The sequence below is a fragment of the Homo sapiens genome, chromosome 12 (assembly GCF_000001405.40).
Source record: "Homo sapiens chromosome 12, GRCh38.p14 Primary Assembly".
In the NCBI taxonomy this organism is placed as follows: domain Eukaryota; kingdom Metazoa; phylum Chordata; class Mammalia; order Primates; family Hominidae; genus Homo; species Homo sapiens.
Window position 1 is genome coordinate 21448914 of NC_000012.12, and position 17829 is coordinate 21466742.

Genomic DNA, 17829 nt, shown 5'->3' on the forward strand with positions numbered 1-17829 from the left:
TATTTTTTACTTATACTAAAATATACCCCAAAAGCATTTGGTTTGCTCGTAAAGTCATTATTTGTACTTAAGAATATAAGTACTATTTTTTTTAAGCACTTCTAGTCTTTTTAGATTAAGAAGACATACCATAACCTCTTGTTCCACTCACTGCTTTTCTGTACTCATAATAGATATGAAGGTAGGATATGGTTAGAATTACTAGGTCTTCTTACAGTAACTTCCCTTGAGATCAGAAATCTTCATCAAGGCCTGTCACAGGTATAATGAGAATGCTTAAATTTAAAAATTTCTTGAAGTTTTGTTTTTAACGTGGGGTCAACATACCTTTTCAACCAACATGGGATTCCCTGAAGTTTAATACAAAACTTTGTGTGAATGTACCTTTTTATGCCAGGGGAGAAAGACTAGTTTTCAGGAGATCTCAAAATGGTTCATGAGCTTAAAATGATTTAAGAATAACTGGATTAGTACATGTATTCTCATGCTTAGTTTTGTAATTGCTATAACAAAGAACTGAGTGCCACCAAGAGGCAACCTTAATATATTATGTTTTGCTTTTGCCTTATTGAATTTTTAGTTTAAAGTGAAGTTGTATCCATGTTGATTATGTGTCTCCCTTTTCTTTCATTGTTTGATGTATTTACAGTGCATTGTAACAGAAGATGGCAATCAGCACGTATATAAGAAACTCTGTCTGTGTGCTGGAGCTAAACCAAAGTTGATATGTGAAGGAAATCCTTATGTATTAGGAATCCGTGATACAGACAGTGCTCAGGTAACATTTTAAGGTTGGATCGTGAGAAGGAAAATAAAAGAATTTTCTACATTTGAATTAAAGTGTTCCACTTACAATTCCTAAACTGTAAGGGCAGAAGGGAAATTTTTGTTTCATGACCAGTAAACCACAGAGTGGTTATGTTTTATTCCTGCCAATTTTCTTTCTTTTTTTTTTTTTTTTTGAAACGGAGTCTCGCTCTGTTGCCCAGGCTGGAGTGCAGTGGCGCAGTCTCGGCTCACTGCAAGCTCCGCCTCCCAGTTTCACGCCATTCTCCTGCCTCAGCCTCCCGAGAAGCTGGGACTACAGGTGCCTGCCACCACGCCTGGCTGATTTTTTTTTTTTTTTTTTGTATTTTTAGTAGAGACAGGGTTTCACCATGTTAGCCAGGATGGTCTCGATCTCCTGACCTCGTGACCGCCCACCTAGGCCTCCCAGAGTGCTGGGATTACAGGCGTGAGCCACCGTGCCCAGCCTATTCCTGCCAATTTTATATTTTTAGTTGACACTATGTTTTTAAGTTCATGCTGATGTGTTATCAGCGTGAGATAACCCAGATATAATGACTGTGCTGAATATTAACAACTTATATTACACACACATTCATTACTCTACTTGGGGAATATGTGATTTGCAACCTAAATAATATAACAATTTTTTCCAAAAAGGTGAAGCGTATTCAAAATGTACTGATCTTATTCTCCAGCAAAAAAAATTCAAAAGATCTTTGTGGTACAAAATCATGATAGAATCATAGAACAGAAAAGGTCACTTGGCTTATTGTTCTGCCCTAGATAAACTATCCCAATAAGGTGAAACATCTGTTTTTGGAGCATTATACAAATTCCTTTTGGTAATTTAATTTAATTCAGGGCTTATTAACCCTTATTGCCAAGAAGCTCTTCCTGGTTTCACAATACTATGTCTAACCTCAAGTTCGTTGTTCTGTCTCATGACATGATGATTTTGCATTAATATAATTTATATTCTGAAAATTTAATAATGTTTTCTTTCAGCCTATTCTCTTAATAATTAGGAATTGAGAGAAAATTAAAGGAACTTGATTATCTTCTTATAAACAATTTAAGTTCATATTATCAGAGATTGAGCTCATAACTGTTTTAGCTCGGTCCTCTACATACATGAACTCATTGAATCCTCATGATAATCCTGTGTGACGATTATTACTCCCAATTTACAAATAGGAAACTGAGGTCAAGAGATTAAGTATGTATCTATACTAATTTAGCTGTTAAGTCTATCAGATACACAATTTAAACTTGTGCTTTTCACCTCTAGGTCCAGTGCTCTTGCAGATGTTTCTTAAATTGCAATATCCTCAATGAAGGACAAACTGAAATAAACTTCAGTTGTTTTTTTCTTGGAGAATTTTAAAGATGTCAGCTTCAGTGAATATTATAAGTTTGGAGATAAATTTAATATAAATTTAGTAGGAGGGCCAGATGTCATTCTGAAGCAGTGGGACTATTCTATACTTCTGAAAGTGCCCAAAGAATTACCACTGGCTTCTCTCTCTCTTTTTTTTTTAATATATCTATATTTATTATACTTTAAGTTCTAGGGTACATGTGCACCAAGTGCAGGTTTGTTACATATGTATACATGTGCCATGTTGGTGTGCTGCACCCTTTAACTGTCATTTACATTTACCACTGGCTTCTCTAAGCTCATTGTGATCTTTTTTTTCTGGGGGGTGGAGGCATCAATGTATCTGTCTTAGAATGTTAATAACATTTTTTTTTTTAGTAGAAGTTTGACATTATTGGGTGCGTGCTACTCCTACCAGCTTTGTCTGTGTCATCTCACATAATCCTTACAGAAACATTAGGATATATAGTCCCTTATTTCCATTTATAGTTGAAGGACCTGAGATGCAGATAGGGTAAGCAACTTGCCCAAAGTCATTCAGTTAGTAATTGCTAGAGCCAGTGCTTCCAGAGTCTGTGCTCTTAACCACTATGCTGCTGAGCTTCTCATTCCTAGAAGTTTTAAGTGTTGAGTAACTCTAGGGAAACTGAGAGTCTAGGTGAAAAGAAAGAATAATTGATTTGGTCAAATAATTGGGAATGTGGTAAGTTAATAGTGCCTCCTGCCGAAATTCTGAAGTACTGTAAATGTAATGACCTAAAAGGAAAGGAAAATCAGGAGAGGCATTGCTATAAAGGCAGCTTGGGATAAAGCATAAAGGGGGACTTTTGTTATATTAATTGAGAGGATGTACCCTGATACAGTGGGAAAGTGAGATTCATTTTTTTCCTTTACAAATTCAATAAAATATTTACATTTTTAGAATATTATCGAAGCCTCATATTTCAGATTATTGCCCACTATTACAAAATACTACCTCATTATTTTCTTTTTAACATAGGAATTTCAGAAACAGCTTACTAAAGCTAAAAGAATAATGATCATAGGGAACGGTGGTATTGCACTTGAGTTAGTGTAAGTATATATTTTTAAATATGATAACATTTAAATTGTTTAAAAATAATTTGTTTTTAAATTAAACAATTGCTTTGTGATTCTTGTGATTTGTTGGCAGACTGGAAAATGTTTTTTATTCTGAAAATCAAAGATAAATATAATTTTCATATGTTTTCAAGGGGAAAAATCCACCATATTTTTTTAGCTCTTGTGGAATCCGTAATTGTAGAAATTTTATTATAAAATATATATGTTTTGGGAATGCTTTAGGTCTCAAGGTGATTGGCCAAATTTGGCCCATAAATGTGTTTTATAAGTATATTTTATGTTTAAAAATAATTCAAATATTTACACCTTTTGAGATTTCTAGTGATAGCCCTCACCACTTTTTATTGCTTATATGATAAATCCTGCTACACTCATTTATGTTACCTGTCTGGCCAGTGTCACCCAAAATGTTTGTGACTCCTGTTTTAGGATATGTGGTTCTTGCAGCTCTTTTTTTGGTAGCTTGGGAAATGTGAACACATTAATTAATTTTCATCTTAAGACGATATTACAAGTTCAAAAACCATTGAGAAATATCCTGCTGTGTCCTGCAGAAGATTGATTCACTTCATGATTTTATCCTCTAGCAGATGATTGACATGAAATAGTCTGGATCTTTTTCAGGCCATAAAGTTGAGTCAAACCACAAAGAGGACAAATTTGAATCAAAATAAGGACTCTGCCAAAGCCATATCTTTGCTCACTTGCATTCAATCCAACTCTCAGACTAGGTTTTTGCCCCTCTTTTAGCGGATGATCTCACCCAGTGGAAGCCTGTAAGAGTTCTTAAATTGCCTGAGTACTATGGGTAACAGTCATTATTGTTATTATGAAGTTTGTGGCATTATATGGAGAAATACAGAGAAAGGGTCAAAACCAAAATGTGGGCCAAGAGGGAAGAGGTATAGATTTATTGTAAATGGGGCTTCAAATCCTTGTGTATAGTATATACATGCCAGATTTTCTCTATCAGCTCTCACCAAAGTATCACTTACTATTATTATAATTGTTATTTACATTTAAAAATTTTATGTTCAAAAATGTTCAGAGTCTTACATTTAATCCTATTCATCATTTTCTTTAAGTTGGAGATTGAAGACTGTATAATTGGATAAAACTCATAGTTTTGTATTTAGTAAGCTCTTCTTTGGTAATTAAAAATGGACCCACATAATGTTATTCTCTGACTTGAGGTCTGCTGCGTGATTAGGTCTTTGTCTCTCGTGAAACTTGGCATACCCATACCCTTTCTACACTGTGTTTCAGTGAAACTAATACTAATGTTCTTCATTATACATTTATTTCAGTTATTATCTGTTTTCTCCTTTCTAAGTGTAAGTTAATCCTTTCCTTTTCAAACAGATACTGTTTTTCATAACTTCACAAAACCGTAATATCTCATTGTCTGCTTCTGTAGAGTCATTTTCAAAATGAAAGCAGTATTTCCCCTCTGTGTGATGATAATCGTCAAACTGTGCATCTTGCTGAGAACATAGTTCAAGTCAGGAAAAGAGGATTAGAAGGTGTCCTAGGAGGTAGAGCAAGTACTGAAGTTTCTTGTGGTTACTTGTAATAACTTTGTCTGCTAGTCAGTCATCAGTATGCTGAAGTGCACTGATAGGTGTTATAGTGTAATATTACTTTAAATTTAAAAATGGTAATATAGAGAAATTCCCAGTTTTTCAAAAAGAAAGCATTACATGATAACTGTATGCCTGTATGTAAATTGAAATACAAACTTTATTACCAAATTTGTGTGTATTCCACTTTCCGCTGGTCAGTAATGCTATATGACCAGAGTAACATAAAATAGAATGTTCACCCAATAATCTTCTATGTTTACTGACATAGAAGAGCTGGAAAAACGAAGACTTATTAGGTAAAGCAAGGAGTTCCTTATCACCATATGTTGAAAAGTATGAATATCAAGTGACCTGGATTCAGATGTACTAAACCTTTTTTCGTAATCTGTTTATTGATTAGTCTTGAAAAGTCGTGTAACCTATGTTATATCAGTCTGTGAAATAAAGATGACAATACTTTGTACCGTAAAGAAATGTGAAAAATTAATACCTTAACTTTTTACAGTATTTTATTAGTATCGCAAGTTTAGATAAAATCCTATTATAGTTAGGATGGCCATATATCTTGTTTGTCTGGGATTGTCTCCATTTCCACCAGTTGTACCAAAAATGATTATTAGTAGCAGATAGTATCCCAGGTTAGGTGATAAATTATGTGATCACCTTAATTATAATGGACTTCAGGGACTTTGTGAAAGGAATATTGTTAGGAAAACCACTTCTTAGCATCTAAACCTAGAATAAAATATCACATGCCCATTACCTTACATTAGTGGTAAATAGTAATAGAAGGTGGCTTATATATACCATTTTCATTCTTTCCTTCCTCTAAGATCCTTGATCCTTGATCTTGATCCTTAAGATTTTTAGCTTATAACTCTGATTCTTTCCATTTTCTATCCCTTTCCGTAATGTGCTTTGAAGATATAAAAAGTTGTTACCAAATAAGTGACTGATTCTCAATATTATAGCTATGTGCCATCCATCCATTACTTGATTACACTATAACCAGATTTTTTAAAAAGCACTGCTTACCCCTGGGGGCCATTCATATAATAAGTGTATTGTAGAAATTGAACATTTTCTAATGATGTACACTGTAATGAAATTTTACTTGATATTCAGTACATGTATTTGTCACTTAAAGGTTCTTTCTGTAAACTGCTTCAGATTCTTTTACTATTCAATTTTTAATTCTTAACATCTGTAAAGAACGTTAATATTCCTCTTTATAATCAATCTTTCCCAGTTAGCCTTAAAAATGTATTCCCTACTTTTGCTTCAGGAGATCATTATTTGCAAATGCAAAGATTTTTTACTTAGACTTTTGAAATCACTCTTAGTAACTTTAACATTGTTTTTAGGTATGAAATTGAAGGCTGTGAAGTGATTTGGGCCATTAAAGATAAAGCTATAGGGAATACTTTCTTCGATGCAGGAGCAGCTGAATTCTTGACTTCAAAGCTCATTGCTGAAAAATCAGAGGCTAAAATTGCACATAAAAGAACCAGATATACAACTGAAGGTAAGTGTAGCACCTAGCTCATTAATTCTCATACAAAACTTTTTTAAAACCATATAGAAAAGGGCTACAAGAAAATTTAATAAAATAAATTTTGGAAATAGTAATATGGATATTTATATATCTTTACATGAAGTTTTCAGATTTTCTATTTTATATATATGTATGTATTTTATATATATATATATAATTAAAACAAGAAATTTAAAATAAATTGAATAACTCAGCCCATCTGCATCTTTGCAAACAGATACTACATTTTGGCAATACCTGAAGAAGTTTTGTAAAAAATGCAGTGAGTTGAAAAACTAATACAAACTTCATATTTTTTTAAGTTTGATAGCTTTGAAAAACTTTTAGATTATAAAATTAAACAAGAGTTTTGTACATTTTGGAGGTGCTAAAAATATATAAAATTATAAAAATTTGAAGGCTAATTTTCTTACCCTTCCAGTTAACCGTGTAACATCCAAAACGTAAGTTGAGTGTGTTTATACTCAACACACAACTGAAAGATTATCTGTTTTGTAACTCTACATCAGAAAAATATTAATGACTAAAATGATTAATATAGATAACATAGGTTAGTCATGCTGTAATGTATGTATATATATGAATCATTACATTGCCTAAATAAAAAACTTCAGAACACTAACATATTTCTCTATCTGGTAATTTTTATATTATTTAATTTCATCTCTTTAGGAAGGAAAAAGGAAGCTAGAAGCAAATCTAAAGCAGATAATGTAGGAAGTGCATTGGGACCAGATTGGCATGAAGGCTTGAATCTTAAAGGAACAAAAGAGGTATCTTTTCATATACTAATTGGTCATGTCTAAATGTAATTTTAAATTCTTGAACCATTTATTAAAGACTGGTAATAAATATATAGTCAACGAACTGTTAGGTCACTTTACTTAAAATCCATAGTGTTAGGAAAAGACCTCCAATGCAGTTGGTCCATTTGGCCACCAAAGAAAACTGAATGTCAAAGCATCGAAGACTGGATCTCAGCCTACGTTTTAACTCTTGAGGTGTGATACTGTAATATATATACAGTCATACCTTGGAGTATTGCAGGTTCAGTCCCAGACCATCACAGGAAATGATATACCACAATAAAGTGAGCCACACGAATTTTTCAGTTTCCCAGTGCCTGCAAAAGTTATGTTTATAACATACTGCAGTCTATTAAATGTGCATTAGCATTGTGTCTAAAAATACAATGCACATAACGTTAATTTAAAGATACTTTATTGCTTAATATGCTAACAATCATCTGAGCCTTCAGCAAATCATAATCTTTTTTTGGTGGAAAGTTTTGCCTCGGTATTGGTGGCTGATGACTCATCAGGGTGGTGCTTGCTGAAGGTTTGGGTGGCTGTGGCAATTTCTTAAAATAACAAGTTTGCCCCATCAATTGACTCTTCCTCTCGTGAAAGACTTCTCTGTAGCGTGCGAAGCTGTTTTATAGCATTTTGCCCAGAGTAGAAGTTCTTTCAAAAGTCAATTCTCTCAAACTCTGCTACTGCTTTACCAAGTATATGTAATATTTTAAATCCTTCATCATTTCAGCAATACTCACAGCATCCTCACCAGAAGTAAACTCCATCTCAGATAACTACGTTCTTTGCTCATCCATGAGAAACAACAACTCATCTTTTCAAATTTTATCATGAGATTGCAGCAATGTAGTCTCATCTTCAGGATTCATTTCTAATTACAGTTCTTTTGTTATTTCCACCATATCTGCCTTTCTCCATTGAAATCTTGAATCCCTCAAAGTCATCCATGAAGGTTGGAGTAAACTTCTTTCAAGCTTTTGTTAATGTTGATATTTTGACTTACTCCCTTGAATCATGAATGTTCTTAATAACATCTAGAATGGTGAATTCTTTCCAGAAGGTTTTCAATGTACTTTTCCCAGATCCATCAGATGCATCACTATCTGTGGCAGCTATAGCCTTATGAAATGCATTTCTTTAATAAGACTTGAAAGTAAGAATTACTCCTGGATCCATGGGCTGCAGAATGGATATTGTATTAGCAGGCATGAAAACAACATTCATCTCCTTGTGCATCTCTGTCTGAGTTCTTGGGTGACCAAATGCCTTGTCAATGAGTGTAGTATTTTGAAATGAATCTTTTTTTTTTTTTTTCTGAGCAGTAGGTCTCAATGGTGGGCTTCAAATATTCAGTAAACTATGTAAACAGATGTGCTGTGTATTACTCCATTCTCACAGTATATAAAGAAATACCTGAGAGTAGGTAATATTTATAAAGAAAAGAGGTTTAATTGGCTCATGGTCCCACGGGCTGTACAGGAAGCATGACTGGGGAGGCCTCAGGAAACTTTCAATCACGGGGGAAGGGGAATTATGCACTTCTTACATGGCCAGAGCAAGAGGAAGAGAGAGAAGGGGGCTGGTGCCACACACCTTTAAACAACCAGATCTCATGAGAACTCTAACATGAAAACAGCACTAAGGATGGTGCTAAACTATTAGAAACTGTCCCCATGATCCAGTCACCTCCCACCAGGCCGTACCTCCAACATTGGGGATTACAATTTGATATGAGATTTGGGTGGAGAACCAGGCCCAAACCATATAATGCTGTCATCCAGGCTTTGTTGTTCCATTTACAGAGGACAGGCAGGGTAGATGTAGTATAGTTCTTAAGGGCCCTAGAACTTTCACAGTGGTAAATAGGCATTGGCTTCAACTTCAAGTCACCAGTTACATTATCCCCTAACAGGAGAGTCTGCCTGTCCTTTGAAGCCAGGCATTGACTTCTCCTCTATAGTTGTGAAGGTCCTAGATAGCATCTTTTTCCACTGGAAGGCTGTTTCATGTACACTGAAAATCTACTGTTTAGTGTAGCCACATTCATCAGTTATCAATTGTATATTTTTGTTGTAGAGATGGCTTCTTTACTTAAACATCATGAACCAACCTCTACTAGCTTCAGCCTTTTCTTCTGCAGCTTCCTCACTTCTCTCAGCCTTTACAGAATTGAAAACAGTTAGGGGCTTACTCTGGGTTAGGCTTTGGCCTAAGGGAATGTTGTGGCTGATTTGATCTTCTCTCCACACCACTAAAACTTTCTCCATGTCAGCAAGAAGACTGTTTCGCTTTCTCATCATTCATGTGTTCATTGGAATACCACTTTAGATTTACTTCAAGAATGTTTCCTTTGCATTCACAATTTGGCCATCTGTTCAGGGCAAGAGGCCTGGCTTTCCATGTGCCTTCCTCAATAACCCTAATAATCATTGCTACCTTTTGATTTAAAGTGAGAGATGTGTGATCCTTACTTTCACTTGAACACTTAGAGGCCACTACAGAGTAACTGATTGCCCTGGTTTCAATATTCTTGTGTCTCCGGGAATAAGGAGGCCCAAGGAGAGGGAGAGACATAGGACAACAGCTGGTTGATGGAGCAGTCAGAACACAGAACATTTATCGATTAAGTTCACTGTGTTAGATGGGTGTGGTTCATGACACCCCAAGACAATTACAGTAGTACATCAAAGATTACTAATCACAGATCACCATAAAAGATCTAATAATGATGAAAACTGAAATATTGCAAGAATTACCAAAATGTGACAGAGACACAAAGTGAGCACATGCTATTGGAAAAATGGCACTGATAAGACTTGCTTGATGTGGGTTTGTCACAAACCTTCAATTTGTAAAAAACACACTATCTGCAAAACAGTAGTGAAGCACAATAAAATGTTGTGTCTGCAGTTTTCTGGCACACAACTCCTAAAATTTTTGGCATCTCCAAAGTGATGTGTCCTTTTGTATGCTAACGAGTTGACTGGTTAGCCCCTAGGTGGCTTCAGAATGGGGACTGGTCACAGGAAAGACCAAGACATGATTAGAGTTTAGACTTTCCAACCTACAGGAAGGGAAAGAGGTTGAAGGTTAAGCCAATCACTAGCAGCCAGTAATTTAATCAGTCACCTACATAACACAGTTTCCATGAAAACCCAAAAGGACTGGGTTTGGAGAGCTTCTGGATAGCTGAACATGTGGAAGTTGCTAGAGGGTGGTCTATCTGGAGAGGGCATAGAAGCTTCATGCCCCTTCTTATATGCTTTGCCTTATGTATTTCTTCATCTGTTTCTTCGTGACATCCTTGATAATAAACCAGTAAATGTAAGTAAAGTGTTTCCCCAAATTCTGTGAGATATTCTAATAAATTAATTGAACCTAAGAAAGGGGCTCGTGGGAGCCCCTTGATTTATGGTTGGTTAGTCAGACCAACTGGTAAAACACCCGGGGCATGCAATTGGTATTGGAAGTGGAAGACAGTCTTGTGAGATTGATCCCTCAACATGTGGGACCTGATGCTATCTCCAGGTAGATAATAACATCAGAACTGAATTGAATTAGAGGACAGCCAGATGGTGTCCTGTGCAGAATTAATTGCTTGCTTAGTGTGTAGAAAACACCCCACACACATTTGGTCACAGAAGTATTCTGTGTTGTGAGACTATAGTAGGAGAAACTGAGTTTGTTTTTTCCTATATCCTCAGATCAGGGATAGAGCTTTCTATACCCAGACTACAGTGAATACTCCTGTCCTATTTTAAATTAATCTTTTCTCAAAGGTCACTTCAGATGCATGCAGTAAACTTACAAAAGTTATTAGATGGATTGGAAATACACACTTAATACCCTAATTGGATAAGGAGATGATTTGCTTTTCCTCATTTTGTTAGATATTTTGATTTTTTAATAGTTGTTAAAGGGCTGTGAAATCTAAATGCTGTAAGAAGCATGCATGCAGTCCTTCGTTACTTTGTGTGATTTCTTTAGAGCATTGGTTTTTGGCTTTCAGTAGGTAGGAGGGGAGCTGGCTGCACGGTGTATCTAATTTTTGTGATGGAAATTACACAAAGTCCCTTCTTCTTGCACCTTCAGATCCTAATATTATATTTTTAACCTGAGAACTTCAACAGTTTAATTCAATAAGCATTTATTGAGTATTTACTACCTACGTGGGACTTTATTAATGTTCAGGGATACGACAGTAAGTCAGAACTGACCTGAAGAAAATTTTATAGTCCATAACTGTTGTCATTTTTTAAATTTTTATTTATTTATTTATTTATTTATTTTATTTATTTATTTTTTTTGAGACAGAGTCTCGCTCTGTCACCCAAGCTGGAGTGCTGTGGTATGATCTTGGCTCGCTGCAACCTCTGCCTCCCGGGTTCAAGCGAGTCTCCTGCCTCAGCCTCCCGAGTAGCTGGGACTACAGGCGCACACCACCAGGCCTGGCTAATTTTTTAATTTTAGTAGAGACAGGGTTTCACCATATAGGCCAGGCTAGTCTTGAACTCCTGACCTCAGGTGATCCACCTGCGCCTCGGCCTCCCAGAGTGCTGGGATTACAGGCGTGAGCCACTGTGCCCAACAACTACTGTAATTTTTAAAAAATGCATTTGTAATTATCAATGAGGCCTAGGCTAAAAAGCATTCCCTCGATGCTATCTGCTAATGCAGCTACCAGATCTCTTAAGTTACTGAATGAATTTTTGTTCACTCCTTTCATGTGCATAGAGAGACTTATTTTAGGGCACCCAATGTGGTTTCATTTATATTATAAGAATTATGTTTTCTATACATTTCTACAAGTATACGTTTTTTCTTCATCATTAGTAACCCGGGTTATTCTTTCTGTAAGTATTATGCTAACCAGTATTTTCTTAATTTTAGTTTTCTCATAAGATTCACCTTGAAACTATGTGTGAAGTAAAGAAAATCTACCTTCAGGATGAGTTTAGAATTTTGAAGAAAAAGTCCTTCACTTTTCCAAGAGACCATAAGTCAGTTACAGCTGATACAGGCAAGTAATGAAATAAGAAAAAATATATATAACCACTTAATTAAAAGGAAAACAATTTAATCCTGCTGTGTTCTATTAAAAATAACTTCGTATTTCCATATAAAATTTAAACATGAAAAGTAAAAATAAAACCATAATTTAATAACATTAACTCACTTCATTTCACTGTCTGTTGTTTTCTAGTAAATTAAATCGTATAGGGCATTACATCTTACATAGAGCTGAGTGTTTTGACCAACAATCAGAATATATTATAAATCAAAATAAGACAAAAACCTAGAGCTCTTAAAGGTGACATGATTTCACCCAAATCAGATTGAAAATGTATATTTTTGGGACTAAGATGCAGCTCTCCTAACTCCAGTTCCACAACTCCTCTGAGAATTGCCATGATTTGAAGAAATACACTCAGTTAACTAGCATATGAAATATTCTACTGTTCTGAATTCTTTGAATTTTTCCATAGGAAAGGGGAATTTGAATATGAGTAGTGAGGGAAGACACCTAGTTGAACTAAACACTTAAGTGGAGTGTAAAGTATTACAAAAGATTTTTAGAGAAATAATTTAGAAATAATTTAAATGTACTTTGTCAAAATTTATGTGTCCAAATTTGAAGGAAAAACATTTAAAATGCCATGGTTTTAAAATTATACCCAAACGAGATGATGCTAATTGCATTAAAATTGCTTTAGCAAATATGCCTCATAATAATTGCTAAGGAGTGTGTTACAAAGTTATCTCTTGCCTTTCTTTTTCTTTCTTTGTTTCTAGTCATTGTAGTCACATACACTGCTGTGGTGATGGTTCCATTTACAAATAAAGTCTGTTTTTTTGGTTTTTTTTTCTTAAAGAGATGTGGCCTGTCTATGTGGAATTGACCAATGAAAAGATATATGGCTGCGATTTCATTGTCAGTGCTACAGGAGTTACACCAAATGTAGAACCTTTTCTCCATGGTAACAGTGTAAGGTGAAATTTTTTTGTCCAGCTGTGAATATATTTGAAGTATTTTTGTGAAGATCTCTAATTCTCAAACATGAATAATTATTATTTTAGTGTACAACTGTAACTTAACATGGTTGGAAACAGTTTGGTTAAAACATTGTCTTGATTTACAGTATTTTTTACTGCTTAAAATCCTTACATAGTTATATCCTTGCATAAGCGTCATCAGTAATGGTTTATAATGTACAATTTATTTATCTAAATGTTGGTAAGAGACTGACACCTCCCGTGACTTCTCAAAAATGATTCTTTTAGAGAAACCATCTTGTATTTTTTGCTTTTCAGCACTTGAAGCTTACAAAAAAAAAAAAAGAATATTCTTGTAGTTATGGATAAGGTAGTCACATGGTTATTGGATACTTTTCATGTTGAAATTCTGACAGTTTTATGGATCAGTCTTAGTTGGAATTTGATCCATGGAAATTCAGCTCAGGTGTCTAAACTTTGCTGATATTTTTCATTTTCTCATTAAAGATGAGCATGCAAAGTGTAACAATTTAATTTGTTCTTTTACTTTAAAATGGAAAAAGTCGTTTCATTTTTCTTAACACTTAACGCTTATGAGGAATGTTGTTTAGTTTGATCTAGGAGAAGATGGTGGCCTGAAAGTGGATGATCATATGCACACATCCCTTCCTGATATCTATGCTGCCGGTGACATCTGTACTACATCCTGGCAGCTGAGCCCAGTCTGGCAGCAGGTAAGCTAGCATATATAATTATATGTTTTCATCAGAGATTCTGTCTGAAAATAAAGCGGTTGTTACCAACAAATCCAACTTCTGGTTTTCCAACTTTTCTGCTTAAGTAGGAAGCTAGCACAGTTGTTATATATATTTAAAAAAAAAACTAGAATATTTCCCTGTTTGGTAAGTTATCATTATAATGGTAGACTGAGACATCTTTTACTTTAAAAGAAATTATGGGCTATTACTTTGTTTTTCATTCTTACCTGCTTATCAGCACTGTCCAGGAGAACTTTCTGTGATGATGGAAATGTTTAATTCCTCACCATCTAGTCAGGTAGCCAGCAGTATGTCACATGAGCACTTGAAATGTGGTTAATGTGACTGAGGAACTGAATTATTTTTACTTACTTCTCATTAACTTTAAATATATGTGGCTACGATGTTGGACAGCACAACTTTAGATTAAAAAAACTACTAAGATTGTAAATTATATAGAAAAGCATTCTATTCCTTTATGATCCTATTCTGTCCCTGTGGTAATCATTACTAAAAAATGTTCTGGGCGCAGTGGCTCACGCCTGTAATCCCAGCACTTTGGGAGGGTGAGAGGCAGGTGTATCATCTGAAGTTAGGAGTTTGAGACCAGCCTGAACAACATGATGAAACCCCGTCTTTACTAAAAATACAAAAAATTAGCTGAGCATGATGGTGTGCGTCTGTAATCCCAGCTATTCAGGAGGCTGAGGCACAAGAATCCCTTGAACCTGGGAGGCGGAGGTTGCAGTGAGCTGAGATCGCACCACTGCACCCCAGCCTGGGCAACAAGAGCAAAACTCTGTCTCAAAAAAAAAAAAAAAAATTCCTGTAGTAAACACCTTTCCTGAGCCTTAACAAGTCCCAACTGGATCTAGACTTTTTCCTACCCTCACAGCTTTACCTACCTCCTCCTAACGGTGGAACAAAAATACTAGAGGAAGATAAAGACAGTGACCAGAGGTGTGCAGAGGGGTAGAGACCTAGGTAGATGTTTGAAATAAAGGAACCAGGCAACATTTATCTTTGTTAAAGACCAGCTCCACAGTTAGGGACATTATTCATTCAGATTATGCAGTGTGAAGTAGGAGAAGAGCTAAAAGTATTTCAAGAGGCAGCACCATCATTTTGTGTTCTTACAGACAGTAGAGACATCAGTAAGAATGGTTCCAGCCTTTTTGTTTCTAACCTGCCTCATTCTATGTCATTTCTGTGGCAAGACTATCACAAATTCTTAGAGTTGGAGTTTATGGGTTTTTTTTTTTTTAACATTTTTAATTCTCTAGGGTAAATTATATCTTAATGTGTTATAATCTGAAAGAGGGGAAAAAATCCGAAAATAAACAGATGGCCTTGTTTTGAGTGCACCTTATAGGCCCCATTTCTTGGCTTACACAAGCAATAAGGATACTAATTTATGCAGTTCAAGATGCAAATTTTCCGGCCACTTGTATTAGCTGTTCTCTAGTTGTTACTGTGCTCAGTTTATTCTGACCCCCAGCCATAAACTGCCTTTCACTTCATCAAATCTATAATACCTTGTTTACAGAGGAGATTGAAAAAAAAAAATCTATCACTTCTGCTAGAAATGCTTAAAACTCATGTCTATGATTATGATATTATTTCTGCAAACAAAAGACAGCATTAAGTACATATGCACATACAGGGAGGTAGAAGGAAACCAAGTGCTTATTATACGCTAACCTGTTTAATTCTCTCAATAGTTACAGAGTAGGTAGTGTTATGTTTACGTTTCAGGTAAATGAACCGAGGCCCAGAAAAGTTAAATATATATGTAGATCTGTTGATATTAAAATCCACTGTGACTCCCAAGGTCAGTGTTTTTTTTTTTTATTATTATATTTAAGTTTTAGGATACATGTACACAACGTGCAAGTTTGTTACATATGTATACATGTGCCATGTTGGTGTGCTGCACCCCCACCCCACAAGAGTCCCCGGTGTGTGATGTTCCCCTTCCTGTGTCCATGTGTTCTCATTGTTCAGTTCCCACCTATGAGTGAGAACATGTGGTGTTTGGTTTTTTGTCCTTGCAATAGTTTGCTGAGAATAATGGTTTCCAGCTTCATCCATGTCCCTACAAAGGACATGAACTCATCATTTTTTATGGCTGCATAGTATTCCATGGTGTATATGTGCCACATTTTCTTAATCCAGTCTATCATTGTTGGACATTTGGGTTGGTTCCAAGTCTTTGCTATTGTGAATAGTGCCGCTATAAACATACGTGTGCATGTGTCTTTATAGCAGCATGATTTATAATCCTTTGGGTATATACGCAGTACTGGGATGGCTGAGTCAAATGGTATTTCTAGTTCTAGATCCCTGAGGAATCGCCACACCAACTTCCACAATGGTTGAACTAGTTTACAGTCCCACCAACAGTGTAAAAGTGTTCCTATTTCTCCACATCCTCTCCAGCACATGTTGTTTCCTGACTTTTTAATGATTGCCATTCTAACTGGTGTGAGATGGTATCTCACTGTGGTTTTGATTTGCATTTCTCTGATGGCCAGTGATGATGAGCATTTTTTCATTTGTCTTTTGGCTGCATAAATATCTTCTTTTGAGAAGTGTCTGTTCATATCCTTCGCCGACTTTTTGATGGGGTTGTTTTTTTTTTGTAAATTTGTTTGAGTTCATTGTAGATTCTGGATATTAGCCATTTGTCGGACGAGTAGGTTGCAAAAATTTTCTCCCATTCTGTAGGTTGCCTGTTCACTCTGATGGTGGTTTCTTTTACTGTGCAGAAGCTCTTTAGTGTAATTAGATCCCATTTGTTAATTTTGACTTTTGTTGCCATTGCTTTTGGTGTTTTAGACATGAAGTCCTTGCCCATGCCTATGTCCTGAATGGTATTGCCTAGGTTTTCTTCTAGGGTTTTTATGGTTTTAGGTCTAACATGTAAGTCTTTAATCCATCTTGAATTAATTTTTGTATAAGGTGTAAGGAAGGGATCCCGTTTCAGCTTTCTACATATGGCTAGCCAGTTTTCCCAGCACCATTTATTAAATAGGGAATCCCTTCCCCATTTCTTCTTTTTGTCAGGTTTGTGAAAGATCAGATAGTTGTAGATATGAGGCATTATTTCTGAGGGTTCTGTTCTGCTCGATTGGTCTATATCTCTGTTTTGGTACCAGTACCATGCTGTTTTGGTTACTGTAGCCTTGTAGTACAGTTTGAAGTCAGGTAGCGTGATGCCTCCAGCTTTGTTCTTTTGGCTTAGGATTGACTTGGCGATGCGGGCTCTTTTTTGGTTCCATATGAACTTTAAAGTAGTTTTTTCCAATTCTGTGAAGAAAGTCATTGGTAGCTTGATGGGGATGGCATTGAATCTATAAATTACCTTGGGCAGTATGGCCATTTTCACGATATTGATTCTTCCTACCCATGAGCATGGAATGTTCTTCCATTTGTTTGTATCCTCTTTTATTTCATTGAGCAGTGGTTTGTAGTTCTCCTTGAAGAGGTCCTTCACATCCCTTGTAAGTTGGATTCCTAGGTATTTTATTCTCTTTGAAGCAATTGTGAATGGGAATTCACTCATGATTTGGCTCTGTTTGTCTGTTGTTGGTGTATAAGAATGCTTGTGATTTTTGCACATTGATTTTGTATCCTGAGACTTTGCTGAAGTTGCTTATCAGCTTAAGATTTTGGGCTGAGCTGATGGGGTTTTCTAGATATACAATCATGTCATCTGCAAACAGGGACAATTTGACTTCCTCTTTTCCTAATTGAATGCCCTTTATTCCCTTCTCCTGCCTGATTGCCCTGGCCAGAACTTCCAACACTATGTTGAATAGGAGTGGTGAGAGAGGGCATCCCTGTCTTATGCCAG

At 35.7% G+C, this 17829-nt stretch overlaps 1 protein-coding gene across 6 annotated transcripts in view; it reads left to right on the forward strand.

Annotated features, from left to right (window-relative positions):
• Window positions 1–17829, forward strand: part of PYROXD1 (pyridine nucleotide-disulphide oxidoreductase domain 1) — a 33596-nt gene that overhangs the window by 11259 nt on the left and 4508 nt on the right. For 2 of the 6 annotated variants that reach the window (NM_024854.5, NM_001350912.2), the window contains exons 4-10: window positions 650–778; window positions 3168–3241; window positions 6219–6379; window positions 7082–7182; window positions 12112–12241; window positions 13095–13207; window positions 13827–13949. In NM_024854.5, coding sequence (NP_079130.2) covers window positions 650–778; window positions 3168–3241; window positions 6219–6379; window positions 7082–7182; window positions 12112–12241; window positions 13095–13207; window positions 13827–13949 — 831 coding nt within the window. Of the gene's footprint in view, window positions 1–649; window positions 779–3167; window positions 3242–6218; window positions 6380–7081; window positions 7183–7951; window positions 8200–12111; window positions 12242–13094; window positions 13213–13826; window positions 13950–17829 lie in introns of those variants that run through there. The other 4 variants (XM_047429554.1, NM_001350913.2, XM_006719153.4 and 1 more) reach the window with 4 other exon arrangements.